General features: G+C 45.3%; 1 protein-coding gene across 33 annotated transcripts in view; it reads left to right on the top strand.

Moving 5' to 3' along the window:
• The window catches only part of MYT1L (myelin transcription factor 1 like), a 542,163-nt gene that overhangs the window by 422,457 nt on the left and 92,531 nt on the right, over nucleotides 1-27,175 (top strand). For 15 of the 33 annotated variants that reach the window (XM_011510324.3, XM_011510318.2, XM_017003604.2 and 12 more), the window contains 6 exons: nucleotides 5,525-5,739; nucleotides 16,532-16,782; nucleotides 19,342-19,578; nucleotides 21,210-21,331; nucleotides 21,698-21,760; nucleotides 22,212-22,280. In XM_011510324.3, the coding sequence (XP_011508626.1) occupies nucleotides 5,525-5,739; nucleotides 16,532-16,782; nucleotides 19,342-19,578; nucleotides 21,210-21,331; nucleotides 21,698-21,760; nucleotides 22,212-22,280 (957 nt within the window). Of the gene's footprint in view, nucleotides 1-5,524; nucleotides 5,740-16,531; nucleotides 16,783-19,341; nucleotides 19,579-21,209; nucleotides 21,332-21,697; nucleotides 21,761-22,211; nucleotides 22,281-23,324; nucleotides 24,938-27,175 lie in introns of those variants that run through there. The other 18 variants (NM_015025.4, NM_001303052.2, XM_011510326.2 and 15 more) reach the window with 5 other exon arrangements.

The following is a 27,175-nucleotide window of genomic DNA, read 5'->3' as shown; positions in this document are numbered from 1 at the left end:
GAGCACCCATCTCAGGAAGCCACCCTTTCAGGGAAATGCACCCACCTTCCATATGGCAAGACCAAACACTGAACAACTCATAGGCCACCCTCCCTCTCCCCATCAGCCCACAGCTAATTATTGGCAACATGAAAACCACCCCCACCCAATAAAACAGACCAACCCGCGGGGCTGCGTAATCCAGCAAGGAATCGTTATTGGTCAAAGGAGAATTTGAAAGTTGGTAGGGAGAAATTTGTTGCTGAGGGCTTTTATGAATTTTCTTCAGCCTACTTTGGCCAGACCCCCAAGAAGCTGGAAGAACTCTAGTATCTGGCCTTTCTTGGAGTCACCAGGTGACTGCACTGCCCACCTTCGGGCTGCCCTGCTCCCGGGGACTGCTCTGCCCACCTACAACTGCCCACCTTTGGGCTTCCCTGCTCCCGGGGGCTGCACTGACCACCTACGACTGCCCACCTACAGGCTGCCCTGCTCTCGGGGGCCAGCACAGAGTGGGGATTTCAGGGAGAAGCTCATGGCAGCTGGAGACCAGGCATGCATGTAATTGTGAATACCACTTTGTTCAAACACAGCCTCCACTCCGATGTTCCGGCCTGAAGCCTTCTGTGCTGCTCCTGTGGCTTCATATGCAGCATCCCTGTTTCTGGATTGGTGCAAAGAAAACCCCACCAAATGCCAACCGAGCAGAGGCTGGGAGTAACTACTGTGCAGCTGCAGCCGTTCTCCTCTGTGCCTCTGGCTGGAATGGGAACCAGGCCAGGACAGGGCTTTTAACAAGAAGAAAGAGACGCTAGTCTCACTGCAGTGCGAGGTCTCGGGCCAGCCCAGCAATGCACACTGACCAACCACAGCCATTCCTGGTTGTTCAGGGAGGCGCTGGGTGCTGGGCCCTGCACTGGCCCTGCGTGAGACTCCTGCGGGCTTTCCGCCTCCATGGGGCTTACCTGGCATGCTGGGTGTGACAGCTGGAGGACAAGTCCCTGTCCCAGCATGTCTGTATTCCCCACAGGGTCTCCATGTAGGGGTGCTCTTTCAGTGGAAAAGGAAGAGACAGGAAGGAAGAAAAGAGAATGAAGTTAAACCTACAGTCATTTAACTAGTTACGATTCAAAAAGTCTTTAAATAAATCGTTCAATGAACAAGAGCCTGAGACTTAAGTAGGTGCTTCCAATCCTGGCCAAGTCTATAGCCTCCTTCCCAGTCCCAGACTTGCAGCCTCTGTCAGGGTGTGGCGTATGGCCCTCTAGCTGAAGCCTCTCCTCCCCTCCTACCTCCCTCTGATCTGGTCCTGATCTTTTTAAGGCTTGGGGATTATGCTTCTCCCAGCCTTTGGCCTTCCCCGCCAGGGGAATAAACAGATTGCCCTTGGGCTGATCTGGTCCCAGGCTGCCTGCCAGTCTCTTGCTATTCCCTGAGGGTTCTCCTGGCTTTTTTGCCTCCTCACCTTTGGATGCTGAGTTTCTTTTCCTGGAATGTTTTCTTACCACACCGCCCCCTCCCACTCCCCGCACAGATCTTAACCTTAAAAATCAACCCATTCTGTAAAACTTACTTCAAACATCCCTTTCTCCATTCAAACATAACTGAATTCCATAGCCTGGAGTGTTCTCTCTTCTCCAGAATTCTCATAGCATTTGGACCCTTGAAATATGATCACATCACCCATGGTCTTTTGTTTTTTTTTTTTAATTAAAAAAAAAATTTTTAGAGACAGGGTCTCACTCTGTCACCCAGGCTGGAGTACAGTGGCACAATTATGGCTCACTGTAGCCTTGATGTCCTGGGCTCAAGCAATCCTCCCGCCTCAACCACCTGAGTAGCTGGGACAATGGGCATGCACCACCACACCTGGCTAATATTTTTTTTATTATTTTTTATTTATTTATTATTATTATTATTATTTTGGAGAGACAGGGTCTCCCTATATTGCTCTGGTGGGTCTCAAACTCCTGGGCTCAAGTGATCCTCCTGGCTCAGCCTCTCAAAGTGTTGGGATTACAGGCATGAGCCACCATGCCCAGCCTGCCCCAGCATCTTTTAAAGCAAGGCCTACAGGTTTATTCATTTATGTACCATCATATTATCTGGGAAAATGTCTCAAGGACAATAGACAGTCAATTATTACATGATTTTATTGATTTGACAAGAAGTAAATCGGCTAAATTAATGAAATCGCAATACATGTATTGGTGATTTGGTAAATAAATTGGATATTTAACCAATATCCAATTTACATATATATAATTGGATATATATCCAATACTGCTATAAAAGTATAGATATGGCTATCAGTCTAAAATCTGACTTTCTTTTCTTAAAAAATTCAGTTATCAAAACTTTGTAACTGCACCAAAACCAATATAAATTTATGAAATAATCAGAGTAAAAAGACATTATCTACATGGATGCCTATTAAGTCAGAATTTATAACAGCAACAAAATGAAAAAGTTGGAAAATAGTTAAATAGTATAATATTCATTGATTTCAATATCATTCTGCTATTAAGAACTGTTTTTAAAGCCTGAGAAACAAAAAGGGAAATTAAATCTCATGTAAAATGGAAGCATAAAATATGTAAAAGTGTAAGATTCTAACTATTTAAAGTAAATATAAAATGCATTAAGTTAATCATAAAAAATACACCAAAACCTTAAAAGTTTTTGTCTCTAGAAGATCTGTAGGCGATTTTTTAAAAAATAGCTTTTGTGTCTTCTAAATATTTTTTCAGTGAATCATAAAAAAGCAAAATATAATCATGAAAATAATCATAAAAAAGCAAGACAATAGTTTTAAACCTGTTACCTGTAAGGCAAGTATAGATGATTTTGGTGTGCCTGTGTGCATCACCTTTAGGAAGAGAGCAAGGACTCAAGAGAAAATATATTTATTCAGACACACAAGAATACTTGTGGAAAATAAGTTAGGAAAGGAACAAATCAAAACCCCTCAGATTTCCATCCCCAGGGAGAACAATCAAAATATTGTTTGCACATCAGTTGCCAAAGAGTTTCCTTCCTAAACAGTACACGTTTGTACCTGCTGATATTATAATTTCATATATCTGCTAAAATTTCACATTTGTGCTAGAGGTACAGGCAATATTTGCAGATCTTACTGATACTAGTAATCAAGAAATAGGATCTTACTCAAAAATTACTGTCTTCCTCCAGGTGTGGTTGCTGGCGCCTGTAATCCCAGCACTTTGAGAGGCCGAGGCGGGTGGATCACCTGAGGTCAGGAGTTGGAGACCAGCCTGGCCAACATGGTGAAACCCTGTCTCCACTAAAAATAGAAAAATTAGCTGGGCATGGTGGCGGGAGACTGTAATCCCAGCTACTCAGGAGGCTAAGGCAGGAGAATCACTTGAACCCTGGAGGTGGAGGTTGCATTGAGCCGAGACCATGCCATTGCACTCCAGCCTGGCAACAGAGCAAAATTCCGTCTTAAAAAAAAAAAAAATTACTGTCCTTCCTAAGCTGACTATGAACCTAACACTAATACATGAATTCACCACCTTTTGTTTTTTCCTGCTTGGTTGGGTCTTTATTTGGAATACATTTTATATAATTTAGAATGATAAAAATTCAACAAGAAACTCTCTGCTTTTAAAATTCAATATTTTGTTAGCTTTATAGTGTGTAAAATGATGCTGATGTGAAAAGGTCTGTAAGTATTTTTTTGAAAAAGGATCACTTGATGCCAAGGGTTCAAGACCAGCCTGGCCAACTTGGCAAAACCCTGTCTCTACTAAAAATACAAAACTTAGCCAGGCGGTGGGTGGATCACGAGGTCAGGAGATCGAGACCATCATGGCTAACATGGTGAAACCCCGTCTCTACTAAAAATACAAAAAAAAATTAGCTGGGCACAGTGGCAGGTGCCTGTAGTCCCAGCTACTCGAGAGGCTGAGGCAGGAGAATGGTGTAAACCCGGGAGGCAGAGCTTGCAGTGAGCCGAGATCGCACCACTGCACTCCAGCCTGGGGGACAGAGCGAGACTCTGTCTCAAAAAAAAAAAAAATTAGCCAGGCGTGGTGGTTCGTGATGTAATCCCAGCTGCCTGGGAGGCTGAGGCAGGAGAATCACTTGAGAAAAATACAAAGATGGCAGATGAGACTGTAGGATGTTACGATTAACAGTGCATCTATGGCCAGGCGTGGTGGCTCAAGCCTATAATCCCAGGACTTTGGGAGGCCAAGGTGGGTGGATAACTTGAGGTCAGGAGTTTGAGACCAGCCTGGCCAACATGGTGAAACCCTGTCTCCACTGAAAATGCAAAAAAATTAGCCAGGTGTGGTGGTGCACGCCTGTAGTCCCAGCTACTCGGGAGGCTGAGGCAGGAGAATCGCTTGAACCCAGGAGGTGGGGGTGGCAGTGAGCTGAGATCATGCCACTGCACTCCAGCCCAGACCACCAGACCGAGACTCCATCACAACAACAACAACAAAAAAAAGAATGTGTCTGTATCTGATTCTACAAAACCTGACCAGCTCTTCAGTGTCCAATCCATGAAGCCTTGAGCCCGGTGAGACTGAGGAGCTGTCGAGGGGGAGGACAGAACGCAGGACCCTTAGTGCACTGTGGGACCCTGCATGGCTGTGTCAGAAAAAGGACATCTGTGGAGAAACTGGTCAGATCCAAATACAGCCTCTGGTTTAGGAAAGAACTCCATACTAATGTTAGTCGCCTGGTTTTGCTCTTGTCTGACGGTTATGAAGATGGTCACATTGGTGGAATTTGGTGTCAGGGTGTAAAGAAAACCTCTGTACAACTTTTCTGCAAGTCTAAAGTTATTTCAAGTATAAAGTCTAAAAACTCCTCTTATGAGCTAGACCGATGAAGAGGTGGACACACACACGCGCGCACGCGCACACACACACACACACACACACGACATGGTGTCTATGAGTGAGCAATGACCCAGTGTCCTTCCTTTTAAATATTTTATTCCAAAGACATTAAGAAATGACTACTAGATAAAAACGTTGAATGCATATTCTAGTACTTGACAAGGTACATTACCACCTAGCCTACCTCATTGTCCAGTTAGGTACATTTTGATCTGGTTCTGTCTCAGTCTATGTCCCTAAGAGTATTTCTTTACCTCATCTTACTTTTTAAGGGGGATTTTTTATCGAGGCAACATCTTTGTGTATAATTCGGCAACTCTTTGTAACCGTTGCAAAGAAATTTCAGGACTGGAATTGTCCCCATCCTCATATCTCATGTCATCACCAAGCCACCAGACCTCTTACAGGAAAGAGGGAAAAAAGGACATATTTAAAGATTTTATTTCTTGTCCTTTTTTATTGCCGAAGTTGACTGTTAGGCAGTTTATTTGATGCTATATAATTAAAAGACATTTTGTCTTTTATTCAGAAAATAAAAAAGTTGTAGTTTTAGTGCAAGGTTCTGATTGTTTAACACATTTAAAAAAGTAAGATATTCTAGTTTTAATGTGAAGCTCGTCGTGTACAAAGCCACAGGAAAGCAAGCTGTTGTTTGTTTTCTTGTTTACTTCCAGGCCAATGTGCTTTGTGAAGCAGCTGGAGATTCCTCAGTATGGCTACAGAAACAATGTCCCCACAACTACGCCGCGTTCCAACCTGGCCAAGGAGCTCGAGAAATATTCCAAGACCTCGTTTGAATACAACAGTTACGACAACCATACTTATGGCAAGCGAGCCATAGCTCCCAAGGTGCAAACCAGGGATATATCCCCCAAAGGATATGATGATGGTAGGAGGTGCACACTCTTATACATGAGAGACACGTTGCCATTGATGATGTTGTTGTTGTGTATATCAATGTCCTACAAATTAGTTGAGCGGTGGTGGTCACTCAATGGGTACCAAAAGAACAGGACTTTCATAGCACAGCCCAGGAGCTGAAAGCCCCTCAGGTCCACACAGCTGTAGGTGAGCAAAACTTCAGGGGAAGGAAGGAGATGGTTTCCCCTCAATAATTCCGAGACAGCGCACTCGGCTGCTCGTGGAATGTGGAGAGGGAGAAGCTATGGACTGGCTTATTGTCTTTTGTGGTACTGGGAAGACAGTGCCCTTATGTTATACGCTTCCTTTAAATAAATGCCTCTGAGACAGACAGTGCAGGGGAGAGCAGGCAGCCCTGGGCTCCCGGGAGCTTTGAGGAGCTCTGCACCCATCTCCTTGGTGTTCTCAGCCTTGCACGCACATGAGAACCATCTGGGGAGATTTTTTTTCTTAATTCTCATGCCCAACCTGCCCTCATGACCAATAAAATCAGAATCCCTGGGGTGCTCCCTGCACGACACTACGGCACCCTTGAGAAGTTCGCCAGTGATTGCCGGGTAGCCAGAGCTGGTGGCCTCCTTGTCGCCTCTTCACAGAAGACCGGCACCGGAGTCCCCCTGTGACTGGGGACGATGGGGCAAAACAAGGCCCAGCCTGGGGTGCTGCCGGCAGAGCCGTAGCTTCGTCCCCTGCTGGCTTGTGGCAGCTGTGGCACCAACAAAATAGAGCTCATGCAACAAACACAGTGCCACGGGCTTCATGGGAAAGGGGTAGTTTATTTTGACCAATGCTTATTTGAACCACTACCTAGAGTATGAACTAGTTACCATTTCACTACAAAGCTAGTTGGTAAGTAGCTTTTCATTAGAGGGGAAGACTGTATTTATTTAATTTTATTTATTTATCTAACCATGTGTCTGCTTTAAATTCTAGGCTGTATAGACGTAATTGCCAAGTTTTACCAATTGGGACTTGGGGTGTAAATGTTCTGATGATTTAGAAGTCTTATCATGATGCTCTCTAGCACAGGGGAAGGAAATAGTTTTTTAAAAAAGGTCATCAAGCTTTTCTTTGAAAAAGATACTTGGGGCTGGCTGCAGTGGTTCATGCCTGTAATCCCAGCACTTTGGGAGGCTGAGGCAGGCGGATCACTTGGTGTCAAGAGTTCAAGACCAGCCTGGCCAACATGGCAAAACCCTGTTTCTACTAAAAATACAAAAATTAGCCGGGCATGGTGGCTCATGCCTATAATCCCAGCTGCTCATATTGTGCTGCTGCTCTCCAGCCTGGTGGACAGAGCAAGACTCTGTATCAAAAACAAAGAAAAAGGTACTTAGTTAAAATCACAGTACACATACACACACAATATTTAAACTGAATGCTTGGGGACTTCAGAAACCATTTTTATTATTCTACAGGAATTGCTGCACATCTTTCTAAGCTATGGTATTTCTTGCCTTAATAATAATTTATTTGTATAGTGAATGAAATTTAGTATTTCTTGGAGGTATCATATATTGGTCAGAAACAGACATAAATGGATAAAAGGAGTGACTGTAGCGTATAACAGAAATAGTTCTGTTGGTTTGTTTTGTTGTTTGTTTTGTAATAATTTCAGGTTTCTTGTCATCTCATTTGTTCATCTACAAGTGAAGGATCAAAAGAAATTAAGTTCTCCTAATTGAAGGCTGCTTATATGATTTCCAATTCATTGACGTTCTACCGGGATTTGATCCATTCTTTCACTAGATGTTCATGTTTACGCACCTGTTTTTTTGTTGTTCTTGTTCCGTGTGGGCTGATTTCTTTCTTCAGCTTCATTGTTAAGGTCAGACTCCAGCCTGAGAAGGAAAGGGGGCTTCTGGGTGAAGTCATGACCAGCAGAGCCGTCTCCAGGTCACGGTGCCTTTAGGGCACCCGAAGTCAAATCCACTGAGCAGATTTTCGGTGTCATTCTTAGGAGCCGGATGCTACTGGACAAGTTAGCCTAGTGCCATGGGTTTCTTCTGGAGCAGAGAGGAAGCAAGAGTGTCCTCTGCTGACCTTGCGAGGCTGCAGTGAAGATCAGCCGAGACAGGATGGGTGTGAGGACGCACTCTGTGGCGCCATCACATGTTAGTTACTGGCATTGATCATCGCATTCCCGGCAGAGGCCCTCCTGTGGACACTAAAGCTGAGCCATGCTTTGCAGCCGACCCCCTAGAAACAAGCATCTATTGAGCAGACAGGCTGAAAGCTGAATGTTAGGGCTTCAGGAAAACAGAGCAAAGGAAATGCAGCCTCTCGCCACAGTGCAGTGAGAAAATGAGCCGGCCCTCCACTTATTTGTGTACAAATTTTAGAGGCGCAAGTGTTACACGGATGTATTGTGTGGGCGTGAAGTCTGGGCTTTTAGTGACACTCTGCTTCCATTTCACTAGACTCATCTGACAGATTTTAAAAGCCTCCTGGCCGGGCGAGGGGGCTCACGCCTGTAATCCCAGCACTTTGGGAGGCCGAGGTGGGCGGATCACGAGGTCAGGAGATCAAGACCATCCTGGCTAACACGGTGAAACCCCGTCTCTACTAAAAATACAAAAAATTAGCCAGGCGTGGTGGCGGGTGCCTGTAGTCCCAGCTGCTCAGGAGGCTGAGGCAGGAGAATGGCATGAACCCGGGAGGCGGAGCTTGCAGTAAGTGGAGATCATGCCACTGCACTCCAGCCTGGGCAACAGAGCGAGACTCCATCTTCAAGAAAAAAAAAAAGCCTCCTGGAAAGTGCCCACTAGGACAAGACTGGCTGGTAGGTTGTTGATGGGGTGTAATCCAAGGAGATCTGGCCCCACTCCTGGGGACCAGGTAGGAGATTCTGACTGCAGAGTGACTGCTGTCTACAGTTACTCTTCAATGTATCTTTGCCAACACTTGCTTCAGGTGCACAAAGAATTGAGTCATTGTTCCTAAAAAGAGGCAGAGAAATGGGCCTGTCGTAAGGGAGAAAAGTACAGATCTTAGCAACCAAAGGTCAGGGCCATGGAGATACAGAATGAAATAAAACATAGGACCTTCCCTACAGCCTTGGAGAATCATCTCTTAAATCACACCAGCTGTGATCAAACCACTCACAAAATCTTCACTTCACCAGCTGCATCCTTCCAGACACAGCACACCAGTGCTTGCTGTCCATCTGTCAATCTGTGTCTGTCTATGTGTCTGTCTGTGTGTCTGCCTATCCATCTGTCAGTCTATCATGCCTTCCCTCAGGATACACAAGATAGTGAAACACACACTGCTGCCCAGTGAAGTGAGGAGTCCCTCTGCCTGCAGGATTAGCGTGTGCTTTACCAAAGTGGCAAACTTTAGGTAAGATCGTAGAGTTTGAGCAGAAATCATGCAAAAGTAGGGAAACACACAGGATGGTGAGCACAGCCAGTGGTCTGGAGGCCAGGACGGAGACCCGTGAGAAGGAAGAACAGGGAAAGCTGCGGGGGCTGCTGAGGAAGGGGCTTCACGTTGTCTATAGGAAATAGAAATCCACGCAGGCTGACAGAGGGGCTGAGGGGAGGAGGACTGAGCATCCACTTGGGTGTCTGGGCCCTGCCCTCTCCCGGGAACTCCAAGCCACAGCCCACCCACCCTGTTTTGCATGGTGAGCTAAGAATGGCTTTGACATTTTTAAAGAATTGCAGAAAAGCACAATTGACAAATAATATTTTCTGATCTATAAAAGCTGTGTGAAATTCTGTTTCCATGCCATGCATAGGGTGCCGTTGGCACCTGGCTGCCCTCAGGGCTTGGCGGGCAGGCTGCGGTTGCTCCCACAGTGCAGGGCAGAGCCAAGTGGCCACAAAAACAATCGCGCAGTTCCCAAAGCCGAAACATTTGCTACAAAATCCTCTCCAGAAAAAGTTGCCAACCCCTGGCCTATTATATCTCCACCTTTGCTGTGTCTCCAGGCAACACACCCCACCCTTGGGGGCCTAATCCTGTCAGGTTACCAGCCCCCAAATGGGCTCTGCCCATGTTCTCCTTTTGATTATTCCCAGCTTCCAAATTCTCCAGCGCTCAGACCTTCCTATCATCTTGGCACTTCCTCTTCTTTGCTCCCTGCCCTCCTGGCCACACAGACAACTCCCCTGACTGCCTGGGCAGCTGCAGACTCAGCTCATTCTCTCCTTCATGACTCCTCTGGAGTGCACCTCCCTGGCCCTCTGTCTCCAGCCCCACCACGCCCGCCTGCAGAGCTCCCTTCTTCCCTCCACCTGCCCGACTTCCCCATGGCCTCTCTACCTGAGCAGAGGCCGCTCCCTGGTGAAGTTTTCTCCTCCTGCAGGCAGTCCGCGGCCCTTCCTACCACTCTCCAGCTGCCTGCGTCCATGGAGCTCGGTGCCACACTCTGCCCTGCAGCATGGCTGTGTCACCTCTTGGGTACCACCTGCCAAGACGGCCTGTCTTCCCACGGGCCGCAAGCTCCTGCTAGGTCACAGGCCGGGTCTGCAGATTCGCTCCACCCTCTAGGGCCAGGGCAGGCCAGGCAGGCAGTAGCTGTGCCAAGGACACTGAGGAAAAGAGAGCCTGAAACCTGGACCTCGACGCCCTTTGGACATCAGCTCAACTCTAGCAAGTAGACCGTGTGCCTTGGAGATGTCATCCCACAGGCTAGAAAGCTCCATTCTTTCCCATGTAAGATTAGACGTCCGTATTTCAACTTACTTGAAACACTAGTTGGACGTGTGTAAAGACTATGAGACTCAGTGCCACAGATTAGGACCTGAATCAAGTTAGGTCTAAAGATCACTGGGTCCCAGCTAGTGGAGACATCTCCATGATGGACATCTTGTGATTGCATTTGTCTGGTTTTCATGGAAATTCATATTGTGGAGACATGTTTATCTATTCTCTGCAAGAAAAGGTGAATACATAAGGCAATAGGCATTTCTAGAACAAGGCATGTACATTTAGTAAGAATTTCACAAGCAGAGTAGGTGAATGAAAAGGTCCTACCTGGAAGGTTTTGTATTTTTTTGTTTTGTTTATTATTATTACATCAACAGCTGTATTTAATCACACAAATCCTGTGTGCTTTTCCTTTTTTCCTGCAGTAGAGGAAATGGAATAGTTGAAGAGGTATTTTTAGGATGGTTTAAGATCCAGCGGCTGCTCCTGTTTGAAGGCAGCTCTGGCATCTAGAGTTAAAGCTGCTGCATTGCTCGTAACATACAGTGATGTTCTGGGCGCCTGGAAGAACATTAACACATTCTTGTCTGCTGATGGACTGAAAAAAAATTTGATCAAAAAATAGCTCTGGGCCGGCGTGGTGGCTTATGCCTGTAATCCCAGGACTTTGGGAGGCCAAGGCAGGCAGATCACCTGAAGTCAGGAGTTTGAGATCAGCCTGGCCAACATGGTGAAACCCTGTCTCTACTAAAAATACAAAAATTAGCCGGGCATGGTCGTGGGCGCCTGTAATCCCAGCTACTTAGGAGGCTGAGGCAAGAGAATCACGTGAGCCTGAGAGGCAGAGATTGCAATGAGTTGAGATCATGCCACTGCACTCCAGCCTGGGTGACAGAGTGAGACTCCATCTCAAAACAAACAAACAAACAAAAAAAAAAAAAGTTTTGTTTGCGAAAAGAAAAAGAAAGTGCATTCTGTCATTGTGAAACTGCTCTCATCAGACCAAGCATCCTCTGTGCTGGAAGAGGGGGAACAGAGCACCCTCAATTTGAAGCCCCTGCTCTGCAGCGCCCCCTGCTGTCAGGGCACTGAGCCGAGCAATGCTGATTGTGGTCCAAAAGATACTGGCATGAAGGGCTGTGCTGACATTTTACAAATAGGGATAATTATTAGGACCAATGACCTTCCTTTCCTGAGCAATTTTAACTGTAGGCCCTCTTATTTTTATTTTTGTTTTAATTAAAACTTTTAAATGACATTTTTATATTCAGTAAAGGATGCATGTGAAAGTAGATACTGTCTTAGTTGCCCATTTGAGTGCAGTGAGTTGATAGGCACATCAAAAGACTCTTGACAGTTCAGTCACCGACTAAAATTCGGTACCATCCACTTGGCGTCATCTAGTTGTAGCATCTTATGAATTAAATATCTGGGAAAGTCAATGCATCGTCACATCTACATTTTATAACTTCAGGATAATTTAAGGTGATTCAAGTAAGATGAGAGGAAGAAATGCAGAGAGTCGTTTTAGTTAAAAATTCTTTCAAGTAAAATGTTGTCACATAGAGGTAGCATTTTTCTTTTTTGTTTCAACTTTTATTTTAGATACAGAGGGTACCTGTGCATGTTCATTACACGGGCATATTGCACCCAGGTAGTGAACACAGTACCCAAGAGGTATTTCTCCAACCCACTCCCCTCTCTAGTGTCCACAGTGTCGATTGTTCCCATGTTTATGTCCCTGTGTGCTCTATGTTTAGCTCCCACTTACAAGTAAGAACATGTGGTACAAAGTTTTCTGTCCCTGCATTAATTCATTTAGGTTTGTGGCCTCCAGCACCATCCATGTTACTGCAAATGACATGACTTTAGACTTTATTGTTTTTATGGCTGCATAGTATCACAGAGTGTCTATGTACCGCATTTTCTTTATCTAATCCACCACTGATGGGCGCCTAGGTTGATTCTGTGCCTCTGCTATTGTGAAGAGCATGGTGATGAGCATACGAGTGCATGTGTCTTTCTGGTACAACGATCTATTTTCATTTGGGTAAATCTCAGTAACAGGACTGCTGGGTCTAATGGTAGCTCTGTTTTAAGTGCTTTGGGAAAACTTCAAACTACTGTCCAGTAGCTGAACTAATTTGCATTTCCACCAAGAATGTATAAGTGTTCTCTTTTCTCCACAGCCTCTCCAGCATCTGCTGTTTTTGGCTTTTTAATAATAGCCATTCAGACTGGTATGAGATGCTGTCTCACTGTGGTTTTGATTTGCAGTTCTCTGGTGATTAGTGATGTTGAGCATTTTATCACATGGCTGTTGGCCACTTGTATGTCTTCTTTTGAGAAGTGTCTGTTCATGTTCTTTGCCCATTTTTAATGGGGTTATTTGTGGTTTGTTTGTTGAAGTATTTGTTCCTTATAGATGTCAGATATTAGGCATTTGTCATCTGACATAGTTTGTGAATATCTTCTCCTATTCTGTAGGTTATCTGTCTGCTCCGTTGATAGTTTCTTTTGCTGTGCAGAAGCTCTTTTGTTTAATTAGGTCCCTCTTGTCTATTTTTGTTTTTGTTGCAATTGCTTTTGGAGACCTAGTCAAAAAAAATATTTGCCAAGGCCAGTGTTGAAAAGGGTATTTCCTAGGTTTTCTTCTCAGATTTTTATAGTTTGACATCTTACATTTACATCTTTAATCCATCTTGTTAATTTTTGTATATGGCAAAAGTATGGGTCTAGTTTCATTCTTCTACAAATAGCTCAGCCATTATCCCAGTACCATTTCCCCACTGCTTGTTCTCATTGGCCTTATCAAAGATCAGATGGTTGTAGGTGCGTGGCTTTATTTCTGAGTTTCCTATTGTGTTCCATTGGTCTGTGTGTCTGCTTTTACACCAGTACCAAGCTATTTTGGTTACTGTAGCCTTATCGTGTACTTTGAAGTCAGGTAGAGTGTAACCTCTGGCTTTGTTCATTTTGCTTAGGATTGCTTTGGCTATTTGGGCTCTTTTTTGATTTCATAGAAATTTTAGAATCATTGTTTTTCTAACTCTGTAAAGAATTACGTTGGTAGTTTGATAGGAATAGAATTGAATCTGCAGATTGCTTTGGGCAGTATGGCCATTTTAACAATATTGATTCTTCCAATTCATGAACATGAGACATTTTTCCATTTATTTGTGTCGTCTCTGATTTCTTTCAGCAGTGTTTTGTAGCTCTCCTTGTGGACATTGTTCACCTCCTTGGTGAGCTGTGCTCCTAGGTATTTCCTTTTCTTTGTGGCTACTGTGAATGGGATTGCCTGCTTGATTGATGGTGAGCCTGGATGTTATTGGTGTATAGAGATGCTGGGGTAGCATTTTCTAATTGATAAGATACTGAACTCTCCCAGACAAACACATCGTTGATGGCAGTCGAGGCTCTTTGTGGACGTTGGGCAGCCTCAGTCTCCACATCTGTGAAGCAGGCATGTGGTAGCATCTTACAGGGTGGTGGAAGTCTAGATGCAATCCTGTTGGAGGATGCTGTGAGCACAGTGTAGCAGGAGTCACTGTGAGAGGGGCTCATGACGAGAAGTCTCTGGGCGTCAGCGGGAGCTCCTGCCACACCTCCACACCCACACTCCTGAGCATCGCCCTCACCAACGCTGAGTGCAAGGTTGCCAGCCGACCTATGTCAGCTGCCGTTGTTTGTTGCATTAACTTGTGTTATTCCTTTAATTTTTTTTAGGAATTGAAATTCCCTCATTTCAAAACAAAAGTGTTATTTTTTTTAATTTATGTGGGCAATGTTTTTTTTTTTCCTAAACCAGTGGCTAGCCCTCACTAGTAAAAACAAAACCCCATATTATTATTTCATTTCTCCTACAATTATTCTACTATTTCTTAACAAAATTGTAAATTATGTAAAATCACAACCTTTAGTTCATATCCAAAGTATCACAAACTGCAAACTGGTTTGTGACGGTTGCTTAGGGTGGATCAAGGTGTGCACTGCACAGGGCCCGTGGGGGTGCCCTTACAGCCTCTGCTGTCTCCCTCTGGTTGACTCCTTTGCAGCCCCACGGTGGTCTCTCTCAAAGGCCCTGGTGTGGGCCTTGCTCAGACCAGCAGCCACTGCCCACCCCGCCCTGCACTGCTGGGCTCCCTAGAGGAGGGGCATCCCAAAGTAGAGAGAAGGGAGGGGCACACTGAGGGACACTCAGACACGCTTCTCAGGGACAGCTGTGCCCCACCAGCCATGGGCCCACTCTGAGTGGCTTTGCTCATTCAGATTAGCAAAACACAGTCATAATATCAACAGATTACTATTGTATTTCATGGGTTTTGTGGGTGCGGATTTGAGCCTCTGGCTCATGCACAGGAATCTGGGTGTAAAGCGGTTACTTGCTTGGGGAATTCTCTGTAGCTTTTGGCAGAGGCTGAGACGAAGACAGCCTGGCCAACTCCCAGCCTGGGCACTGTCCTCAGTCTTCCTCTGCAGAGGCCTGTGCATTACAGAATCACCAATAACACACCTCTTCCCCATGTCCTGAGAGCCTTCAGTCCCAAACCAAACCTTGTCAATGAGGACTCCTTCTTTTTTCCCTTTGTATCCAAATCCAGGGCAATTTCTTAGCATTGCTCATAATGACCGTATCAGCAATGTGAGAAAGCTTTTTGCTTCACTTAGCTTTGTTCTCTTCTTCCTCTGTGGGAAGGAGTCCCTGGGGAAGCCTGGCTCCAGGTTCAGAGCTGCTGCCGATGGCACAGAAGACACCGCAGGAGCCATGACCAACTGCGAGGTCTCCCTTTCCTTGTAGCAACAGACAAAACCATAGTTTCCATCAGAATTAGGCAGCTTGGAGCTTTGCCGATTAGGACTAGGGCAGCCCTAAGCACCAGGAGAACCCGGGCTAGAGTGTCTCTAGCCTATCACCAAGTTCTCCCAGCTACACTCACAACGGTCCCAGGGAAGCAGGCGGGGATCTCTTGGGGAAGAAGGTGCTTCCTAAAGGGAGGGGCTCACTGACGGAGGGATTTAGGACATGGGAGAGACCAGGTCCACCTCTGAGTAACTCTTCACTCTGCTGGATTCCAAGAGAAATGTCTGGCCATGCACAAATGAAGTCCTGTGACATTAACTGGCAGGGATAACAATTAGTAAAGAAGGACCCATCGGATAAATCCTGGACTGAAACATTGTCATGTACTAAAGGAGATTTAAATAGCTCTAACAAATAACCCTTGCCCCTCAGTGCTGGTTTGGCTGTTAGTGAGTGTGGTGGCTCAGAAAGGATTACTGGGCAGTGGGAATCGTGTCAGTGAGGGTCAGTGCAGGGAACAGAGAGGCCGTGGCTATGAAAGAGGCAGCTGCACACGTGCCCCGCGTGTCTGCCACCACCAAGTGGCCACTCAGGTGTTTCGACATTTATCCTGAGCTTATTCTCTATGTGCATTTCCCCGTTTCACTCCCATGGCCTGTATCAGAATTCTAGAAAAAAAAGGATGTTGGACTCACCCTATCTGGTCTGCATGCCCAGCCAGAAATCCACCTCCCAAAGCACGTGGTCCCCACAGGCCCAGAAGGTGGCTGCCGGGGCCCCTCTGGCTGAAAGGAACAGCCCACCTCTTGACAGATAAGGGACCGCGGATCCAGGTTGGGTCACCAAAAGTGCTCACGAGCCCTCATGTGCTGCGGAGGAGCCCCACTCACGCTTAGGGCCTCGACTGGGATTTGACTGGGCTGGAATTCCCAGTCACTTCCCTACACCCTGCGGCTCCTAAAAGCTAGCCAGCCGTGTGTCTGTCTTTCGAGGGACCAGGTGACCGCCTGTGCTGGGTGTGAGGTGCAGCCTCTCCAACAGGTCGATGAATTATCCTCCAGGGCAAAAAAAAAAAAAAAAAGGAAAAAGGAAAAAAGAAGAAAAAAGAAAGGAGCCGGAAAGTTTTGTTTTGTTTTCGTTTGCCTGTTGTTTGTTTTCTTTACGCGTAAGCCCCAGCACCCTGAGGGCCGTCCCACGCGGCTGTGTGTGGCTGAGGCCGGGGCGGGCAGGCCCTGCCGTGTGCTGTCTGCCGTGTGCCCTGCGGCCGGGGCCTGAGTCATCCCTGTCCCTGTCTCCCCAGCGAAGCGGTACTGCAAGGACCCCAGCCCCAGCAGCAGCAGCACCAGCAGCTACGCGCCCAGCAGCAGCAGCAACCTGAGCTGCGGCGGGGGCAGCAGCGCCAGCAGCACGTGCAGCAAGAGCAGCTTCGACTACACGCACGACATGGAGGCGGCCCACATGGCGGCCACCGCCATCCTCAACCTGTCCACGCGCTGCCGCGAGATGCCGCAGAACCTGAGCACCAAGCCGCAGGACCTGTGCGCCACGCGGGTACGCGCGCCTGGGCAGGTGGAGCCACCTGGCGGGTGGGGGAGGCCGGGCCGCGGACCCAGCCACCGAGACACGCGGCGCTTTCGGGGCAGCTGTATGGGGCAAACGCCGTGATCTCCTAAACCATTCTCGCCACTGTGAACAATTAGTGCAGCTTCCCTTAACGCAGCCTGAACACACCATTGTCCAAAGCGCATCCATTTTCTAAATCAGAGGCAAGGGTCAGATCTTGTAGATGAACGTGCGTGAATGGATCCTTCTCTCCAGGATCCAGAAGCATTTCTGTAAACAAAGGACACCACGTGGGCCTCCTGTGGTCTCCAGTGACCGCACAGAGCATGCAAAACGAAGCGTGGGTCTCCTTGAACTTTGACAGGAAGTTCTGCTAGCACCATTGTCACGTGAAATGCAGGGATCTGCCTATGGACTCCTGGGTAGCAGGGAAAGGAAGTAAAAATCAGACTTCACACCAAGGGATCAGCCGTGTATTTACAGCCAGCACTCGTCAGTTCCACATTTTCATGGATGCTATAGTGCTATGAAAGGCATAGGAAGAGTGTCTATTTTTAATTTTCTTATCAATTGAACCAGTGCTTATGCTGGGCAGGAGAGAGAGCGTTTAAGATGCAGCACAGACCTGGGAGACAGCTGCCTCGCCGAGGCCACCAGGCGGCTGGGGAGAACCAGGCGGTGCCAGGGAGCGGTCAGATTGTGTTCTCAGAGGAGACGCTGAGCAGCGGACATGTTCACCTCCTCTCCTGATAAACAAAGGGCTCTCCACTGTGTAGCGCTGCCTGGCCATGTACCTGAGTGGACCACACTGACAGTGGTTCTTGTAAATATTTGTAGTTGGTATGAATGAAGAAAGGTCAGTAATCTTACGTTTTGCAAATGTTTTTTTCTTCTATCAGTATATTTAGTCCTAGATATTGGAGAAGAGTCAGGTGCATGCAGTTTTCATGGTGATCAAGGTTGCAAAAATGCAAGGTTAGCATGGAAGAGATTCTGTGGCAACCACAAAAAAAATAAAATAAAAGGCAGAGACCCCTTCCAAATTTTGTTGCACTTTCTTAAAATTAAACTAAGACTGAGAGAATAAATCCAACATTATAAAGCTTAAATTAGTATCAAAGCTTCAAATCAGAGTACACTTTGACAAAGAGAGTTCAGGCAGAATGATACTGTATAATTTATCAAGGTAACAGCTCCGGGGATGGAGGTCTCATTCCAAGCATCTTCCTTCTGCTGTTGCATCCAGAGGAGAGAGCTGCTAGACCCTTGAGGAGGCAGCAGCTTTCAGACCAGCTCTGAAATCAAATTTTGCTAAGGAGAGTGTCACTCTTTGGGGAAAAACATGCAGGATTGTTAGGGGTATTCTGATTTTTTTTTTTTAACTTTCTGTCCATGTGTCCATTCTTCTGACTCTCTTCCTGAGAGGCAAGTGCTGCAGAATTATTGATGCATTTCAAAGCATCATTTAAAAAATGAAAGAGCCTCACCCTGTACCTCTTTGGGGTTTTTTTTTAAGCCAGTAGACTAAATTGCAGGTTTGCTGAAATCTAGAGATCAGACGGTAATCACTGTAGTAAAGGTATTTTTAGCTACAACTGCAGATCTTCTTTCGTAAAGTGGAAAATTATCTTCATTATAAAAGTTCTTATTACAGCCAGGCGCAGTGGCTCACACCTGTAATCTCAGCACTTTGAGGGGCTGAGGCGGCTGGATCACTTGAGGTCAGGAGTTTGAGACCAGCCTGGCCAACATATAGTGAAACCCCATCTCTACTAAAAAATACAAAAATTAGTTGGGCATGGTGGTGCAAACCTGCAGTCCCAGCTACTTGGGAAGCTGAGACAGGAGAATTGCTTGAACCTGGGAGGTGGAGGTTGCAGTGAGCCCAGGTCGTGCCACTGCACTCCAGCCTGGATACCAGAGCAAGACTCTGTCCCTCAAAAAAAAAAAAAAAATTGTATTACAAGGTAAATTTTAGTTTATTCTCTTTCCTTCCTTCATCCTTCTAATTCTTTTGTTATCCTCCTCCCTAATTCTTGAACTATTAGCATCAATAAAAAAGAGAATTTTTAAGCTGATATATGTGTGTTTATACACACACACACATGCACATACATGTATATGCACACATGCATACACACAAAATTTTTATCTCTTAGGTATTTGCAACGGTAATAAAATTAAAATTAAGCACTTTGTAATTTTCTTCTGAACAAACTCTAAATCAGAGATACAATAGGACAAAAAGGAAGGAGAGAGAGAGGATAGACAGTAGATAAATAGGGAAATGGAGGGAGGGAGGGAGAGAGGGATGGCGGGATGGATGCCTGGATTCTCCAACCAATTTTGCAGCTAAGCGTGGGATAGCAGGAATGTACCACCAGACAAGGCCTGTCCGCCTTGGGAGTTTAGGCCAAGGAAACAGCAGCGAGGGATTCTGTGTTGAACGCTACACTGGCTGACGGCAGGACTGTAATCTGGGAGGAAGGACTCGTGGTGTCACAAGATGCCGGGCCAAGCACAGTCACTATGTCTTTCTACCGACAGAACCCTGACATGGAGGTGGATGAGAACGGGACCCTGGACCTCAGCATGAACAAGCAGAGGCCGCGGGACAGCTGCTGCCCCATCCTGACCCCTCTGGAGCCCATGTCCCCCCAGCAGCAGGCAGTGATGAACAACCGGTGTTTCCAGCTGGGCGAGGGCGACTGCTGGGACTTGCCCGTAGACTACACCAAAATGAAACCCCGGAGGATAGACGAGGACGAGTCCAAAGACATTACTGTATGTCCTTTTCATTGAGCCTGTGTTGACTGCCAGACTTAAAAATGGGGCCCCAGCTGAAAGAAAAGCCATTTGCACATACGTTATGAGAAAATATATTTTCTCTTTAAATATGACCTTTAGCTGAGGAGGACTTAGAAAACAGTTTTTGTTGACCCAGAAGAGATTTGCGACTAACATTGATTAGAGTGAAACAAAGTATTGACTCTTGTAAATGATAAAGTTTATTTTCTAACAAATATGTTTTGTTACAAATGATTACTCTAAGAAAACGTATAAATAGCACCTGAGTTCATTTTTCTGGGTGTCCTGTTGAAACAATACAGGATTTTCCTTGCAGGTAGAGAATTCTAATAGGAGTCTTAGATAGTTAAATGGTTAACTATGTGCTATTAATTAACTAGCCCTTCGAAACTAAGGACAGTGTCCCTTCTCTAAGAAACCTAAGTACTCAAAAGAGTTTAGCCTTGAATAAACTATTTTAGTACCATCACCTAAGTCTTTGTTTATGACAGTATTACTAAAACATCTATGTCAAGAACATACTTTTGAAGTAGCTACAGTGTTCAAATTCAGGTTATTAAAATAGATATAATGCCCTTTAGGCTTTGAAAAGAAATAAAGAAAAATGTTTTCTTTATGTACCGACTTTAAAGTCTTATGACATCTTCTTTCTTCACTGAAAAATGAAATGTGTTTTTAGTACAATAGAGAGACCACCATCGAAGCACTAGTGTCTTACAGAAACAAGGAAATGGAAAAAAAAGAAATATTAGCCCCATGTAGAAATTGGCAGAGAGGGCACCTGCTTATAAGCCTATTATCTGCATTCTTCAAATTGATTTCAATATCCAGGCATTGTGAAAAAGAACCAAATCAGAGTGGCAAGCTAAATTTCTAAGTATTTTTTTCTCCCGCAGTGTTGAATCATTACTACCAAATAAGGCATGGTGGTTGAATCTCCAAATTCATTTTAATTGAAAGTAAGCCCTCCTAAAATGACAGAAGTGTTTTCATCCTGGATCATCATGGAAGACAAACCTTCCCATGTATCTACACTTAGGAAAGTGTCTGCTGAGCATTGCCACCTGTAGAAACATCTACGTTACTGCAGTTGAACACACAAGGGAAAAGGAAATTTACAGTTACATTCCTCTAAATTGGTCTCCATTACCTTGAATCTTAAAGCATGTGCTTGTAAAATACTGACCAATGGTGGGGGAAAGCTCAGCCCTAAGACACTGTAGTTCCAGTGTTGAATCTTTGCAGGCAAGTGTTGGATAAAGCAGCCACCCACAGGTGTGTGCTGAATGCTGGATGAGGAAGACCAAGTTAAATGTAGTCTCTGGCTACCAGACCGTGTGTGTGTCCATGTGATGAGCACAGCCAGGTGAATATTGAATAAGGGCCCTGACCACTGACAGGTGACCATCATTTTAGGAGTTTAGAGCAGTGGAAGAAAAGTTCAATATGCATTTTCAGTAGGGGCGTTATCAGGACCAAAAGGATCTTAAAGGTACAGCAGAAAGAGGTGTAAGATGTAGAGGCCACCCCAGAGCCACGAACCACCTCCCTCAGTCTGTGTGCCATGTGATCATCCGTGTGGCTCTGAAGCTGTGTTTTGCCCACAGCCAGAAGACTTGGACCCATTCCAGGAGGCTCTAGAAGAAAGACGGTATCCCGGGGAGGTGACCATCCCAAGTCCCAAACCCAAGTACCCTCAGTGCAAGGAGAGCAAAAAGGACTTAATAACGTAAGCATGCTGTGAGGTGAAATTATGAATCTTCTTAATCTTCCCATTCTTTGGCTGATTTTTTAAAACTGGATCTGTATATGCCTTGCCGTTTGAGCATGCGACATTCGCAGCATATAAATGTTTCCGACTGCTGGGTCAGTAGAGTGAGCAGCTAACCGTGCACTTGCCTGTTCCCAGTGACGCTCTGTCGGATGGGGGCGTCATTTTCATTTAACCCGTGCATTTTGCCGCTTTTCTTCAGGGTGCTTAAATCCCCTTGCAGACATTGCAGCTAAACTGGAAACAATGAAACTTTTTTAAAAGTTTTTTTTTTTTTTAAACATACTTACTATTTTGGCTGTTTTTGTTTTTGTTTGGTGGCAGATGTCCAACTCCAGGGTGTGATGGGAGTGGTCATGTGACTGGTAATTACGCCTCACACAGAAGGTGTGACTTCATTTTTCTCATGGTGGATTCTGTCTTTTCAATTTATTGTTTTCAGCTTACCTCAACAATGCTGTCAAAGTAAAAATGTTGAATTCTGTGTCAACCCTTTAAGTGCTATATGTTGACCTTCAAAAGCATGCTAATTTATGTGTTGTATAATGTCTTTTATTTTCAAATAAACGACCTAAATTTGTAAAATTCTTCTTAAGCATTTAAGCCAAAGAGCACAAATGTTTTATCTTATTTTTAAACAATTGCTTATTAAGAAATATTTTCTTAAATTTATATTCGAACCGATTCAGAATTAATTACACAAAAAAAAATTCAATATACAGCACTTGCCCATTGCTTTTCTGCATTAAACTCTTTAATTTCGGTTTTTATGTTGTGTTTGTTTGGGAGTTACGCGCTTCGCAGTTGACTGACCTGCCTGTCCCGGCCTGTCTTACAGTCTGTCTGGCTGCCCCCTGGCGGACAAAAGCATTCGAAGTATGCTGGCCACCAGCTCCCAAGAACTCAAGTAAGATTTAATGACAATAATTCTCTTTTAAAAATCCATGCACTCAGTAGTTCACAAAAAAAAATGATATGTCATTTGCAAAGAAAAATGTCTGTTAAAAAACATGGCCTGTGCACCCCAGTGCCTTGATGTAGACATGGGATTGAATCCTCGGAATTTCAGCCACTTTTCCACACAACCCATTCTGCCTTTTCCCCTGACATACCTCCAGCTTGTTCATATCATATCCTTCCTATCTGGGATATCCTAAAGCATGGGTGTTTTCTCTTCAGATATGCATGCATATGGAAGGGAAATTTTACAGTTACTCAAATTTTTAGAAAATGACTGTAAATAATCAAAATTTAATTTTTAAAAGAAATTCATAGCAGTATTTACAATATGGATACTTAAATAGCACTTATGACAAAATCTACCATCATAATAGCTAATTTCTTAAATACACTGTGGTCTTAGTCATGAATACTCTTTAGGACAGTGACAACTCACGGTTCGGGGATCCGGAGAGTCATGGAATTCAACCAGACACACATCATTCTAGAGTTTTACCTCCCTCTTCTCTATGCCTATAATTTTTAAGCATAAATCTGGCAAATTGGTGAAATACCTACATTTATACTGCAACACTGAGATTTTCCTCCTTCACATAGACATCTCTAGATGTAGGTCCAGACAGGTTTGGAAGAAGTGGGTAGAAGTCACAGGGGGAGTCTCAAAGCCTCCGCAATCCGGGGAGAGCATACGTGCAGGTGCACACAGGGAAAGAGGGTGAGACCTGGGAGATGCTCACAGCGAGATGAGAGCCAGGAGTCCCCAGATAATCGATTTAAATTATCGGACAGGCCATATCATTATGTCAAATTGCTTGGTTTTCCTTTTGTTTGGAAAAAGCGTTATCCAGGCAAAGATAATGCTGCTTTTCAACCCACATTTGATCTCTTTCCCAATCATCCCACCCCACCTCGGCATCCGAGGACCCTGACGATAGACCAGGACTATTGCAAAGTGTAGGCTTCTATTTCACACCCATGTCATCTTTTACAGGATCCCTGTCCAAGGCCCTAGGGCCCTAGATCACCTGCTTATGTTCAGTGACTTCCTGAACTAGCTCTTTCGCCACAAGACCCTTGGAACTTTCTTCATGGAATGTAAACGCCTGGAGGGCTTCCTCTTACCTAACGGCTGTAAAGTCTGTAGCCTCATCCAAAACAGTGCCTCATGGAAAAGTAGATTTAGGATCTCAAAACGGACAGCATTAGCAAGAGCAGTTCAACCCACTTTGTTCAGGCGTCTTTTGTATGGCTCGAAACCACATTTCCCTCATGGTCAAAACATGACTAACTCCACTTGGAACTTGGCCAATACATCAGAACATGGCAGCATTCCTTTGAATTTCTTGATGAGGGACACTTTGCCAAAGATTGGCACATCTCCAGTTCCAACAGGCCAGCTGTAGACAGGAAAACAGCCTCTGTAAAAGTTGCTTCTAGTGTTGCCTCTAACTGGTCAGAGACTGCAGGGATTCGTTTTCTTTGGCTTGCATCCCTTCACGTTGGGCTTGGCGGCTTATGTTGATTTGAAATTCCGAGCCAACTTGCTGTTTCTCCAGCATCGGCACTTTCTTCTTCTCTTACTTCATCTTGCAAGATGGTGTGACGGTCCCCACCTTTAGCATTTTCCGAGGGAGCCGGTTAGCTCTTCATGCCTTCCAGGGCAGGGTGCGCATGGGCAGCCCCTCCTTCCTGTCTTGTCCTGGAGGGGAGACTGTATCTTACAGGAGGTGGATGGCCTTTTGCTAATTTTGGTTGATCGAAAAGCCACACATGTGTCTAAACCTATCTTTGCAAAAAGTCAATCCTATTCTGATAGAGCCTTTCTGGGAAATCTGAACTTGACTGAATTTCTTAAATTGTCCCTTTCTATGAATGGATCTTCAAAACTAAGAATTTCAATCAAGCATCTTCTATAAAAACACTAATGTTTCAATGACCAAATGTTGCTTCATGGTATAACCACATGTTATAATTTCTTTGCTTTAACCTTGTAATTGGTGACCCCTTTTATCTGTTACTTGTTGGATCTGGGTCAGCAAGATCTGTTGAGTGGGTCTCTCAAGCCCAGGAGCATGGACTGAGCCCCTCATGACTCGCAACAACTTTCTTTAGAATAATTCCCGCATGAGTCCTTTTTTATATTCTTTGTGTATATTTTCAAGGGTTTGGTTAATTTGTCCTGCAGCAGCATCGTCCCTGATTAACATCGTGATATTAAGCCATTCACTGTGTCCTGTAACAGTCTCTAATCGTTCATAAACACATAGTAGAAAGTGGGCCCCAATTACCCCCAAAATTATTCTCTACAATACATGTCAGCTAACAAATGGAACTTTCTGGAAATTTTCTTCTTGTCACTTCCAACACTGAATTGTGATATTTGGCCTTTAACAGGACATTCTTGATCATGGACAAAACAAATTTTCCAGATAAACTCTCGCTCTTGGATCCTCTAAGCTCTTAAACTTCCTGAGATAACACTTTGCCTGGTCTTACCCAAAGCAGCAAACATGGGACGTTTTGAAAAGAAAATCCATCACTTCATTGTCTAATTATGTATAATATGTAAACTGAAACTGGATTAAAATTTAACGTGCACCTGAATCTTACTCCAACTCTGGGACTGTTGCTTTCTTTGCTCCCTAGCCCATCTGGTGTGTCGAAGACATAGTTCAGAGGCTCAGAAGTCAGGGAGGAAGCCCCCAGGGTAAAAGGGACACTTCGAGGAGGCAGACGGAGGAGGGACACCCAGTTCCGAAAGCCTCTGTGCCTGGCAGACTTTTGCGCGTCGATGCTTTGAGGTGGAGTTCACCGTCACCTTGTATGCCCTTTCTAGGAGTCGACCTCACAGGGTCACCGTGAGCCCTGCCTGGCTGTGACGTTCACTGAGACCACAGGCCAAAAAGCGAAAAAGAATACATTTGTGCAAATTAGAGTTTTGGGGGGTGAGAACTCTGCCCACCATGAGCTCTGATTCTCAGAAAAGTTTCTTCTCGTGACATTTCATTTGCTAGGATTCCCTGAAAGAAACAGCAGGAAAGAGCTTGCAAAACCTATCAGAGCTGGTCAGCCTTTTCTTTTTCTTTTTCATTTTCTTAAGGAACCATATTCTCCCAGCCAGGAATTATGTTTTTCTGCTTCCAGATATGTGTGCCGTTGTTGACATGGGCATGGTGTAGGTATGACCAATGTGAGCCAAATACAAACTCATTTCGATCACAGAGAATTGGCTCTTAAGAGGAGCCAACAAATAGGCTTCCATTGATGCTTCGGTTGGCCAAATTAAGATTCCTCCTTATTATCCATGCCTTTATCTTATAATACCACGAGTCCCGACATTAGTGTAACTCCTTGTAGGAAAAAGAACCTTGGGACACTTGTTAGTTTTCCTGATGTCTCAGCCTGGACTGAGTCATCACGGCAGTGAGCAGATTGTACTTTTGGTCCCTTGGCCTTGCGATGGTCCCGTACGCGCAGTAGTCCCTAGGCTTGTATCCTAGGCATTTTCAGCTTGAGCATACAGGAATTTTAGCCACATCTAACACATCTTTTTAACCTGGTTACATGCATTTTAAAATACATCATAAATCAAAGAATTAACATTTTGAATGTAGGTCAAGATGTTGCTTTTTGCTAAGGCTACTTATTTCTAGACCATCCCGAGGCTTAGATTCTCCACTGTAAACTTAATGCAGGCACAGGGAGATTATTTACCAGGCTCTCCTGGAGGGAGATGTGAGCTTTGCTCACCCCACAGCTTCCATTGTTCGGGTGCAGGAAGGTCATCCGCTTTGACTGCTCACCAAGTTCTTAGGAATAATCCTCATTTCGGTAATCTTTTGCTTTCACAGTTTACAATAGTCAATCCACAGAACTCTGTGAATTACAACTGCCCTCGGCTGGGGTCTGGTTTCTTTACCAGGAGGCCGTATTTCCTTATCAGGGGAATGAGTTGACCTCTGTGTAAATTCAGCTCTTTTAGGACAGAAAGCTGTGTGATTTCAGCCTCCACATTGGGAGGAGAGCTAATGTGTGATCTCCCACTTCGAAGCTTGCTCCTGTAGCACCCTTGTTTCTGTTATAAAGAATTGAACCATTCGGCAGCTGACTTGGCTCACCCGAGAGCACCCGGGTGCACGTGATCAGCCATGCGCGTGAATGGGAATGTCTCGGGGGAGAAGAGGTGATGGCCTGGGGTTTCTCGGGTGTGGGTCACTCCCGTGCATAGCGTCCACTGGGGCTCCAGCAAGCACGGCCCAGGGCACGGGGATTGAGCTCCTGCCCCAGAGCCTTCCCCAGATCTGTGGTGGTACCCGCTTGTGCTGAAATACTGCAGGCTTGTAGGGTGCCTGACAATGGACAAAATGCTTCTGCACAGACTGTCACCTTCGTGAGGAAAGCGGGGAAGGGGTGCTTAGACCCATTTTACGGATGTGAGAACTGAGGAACAGGTGGTTGGACTGCCCAGTTGAGATGTAGAGACAATCGACTGCAAGGACAAAGCCTGTCTCAGAAGCTTTCCCACGCTTCATGCCTGCTCCTCAAAATCAGGGCAAAGCCCGAGCTCAGAATCTTCCCCACGCTTCATGCCTGCTCCTCAATCATTAATAACACCACCTTCAGTGTGCTGCTTTGTGATTGAGAATTAAAGGTTTACATTTAGCGATGACTACAGCCATACACATGCACACACACACAGAGAATTTATTTTTATTTCCACACTTGGCCTTGTGCAGTTTCCCTGTGACCCGCACAGGGAGCTGAGCTGAGACCCGCCCAGTGGTGGCCACCTCCCCAGCACTGTGCCACATCCCTGGTGGAAAGCTGACACGCCCACTCCTC

The sequence above is a fragment of the Homo sapiens genome, chromosome 2, assembly GCF_000001405.40.
Source record: "Homo sapiens chromosome 2, GRCh38.p14 Primary Assembly".
In the NCBI taxonomy this organism is placed as follows: domain Eukaryota; kingdom Metazoa; phylum Chordata; class Mammalia; order Primates; family Hominidae; genus Homo; species Homo sapiens.
The sequence above is the reverse complement of the archived record's forward strand: the minus strand, read 5'-3'. Positions and strand labels throughout refer to the sequence as shown.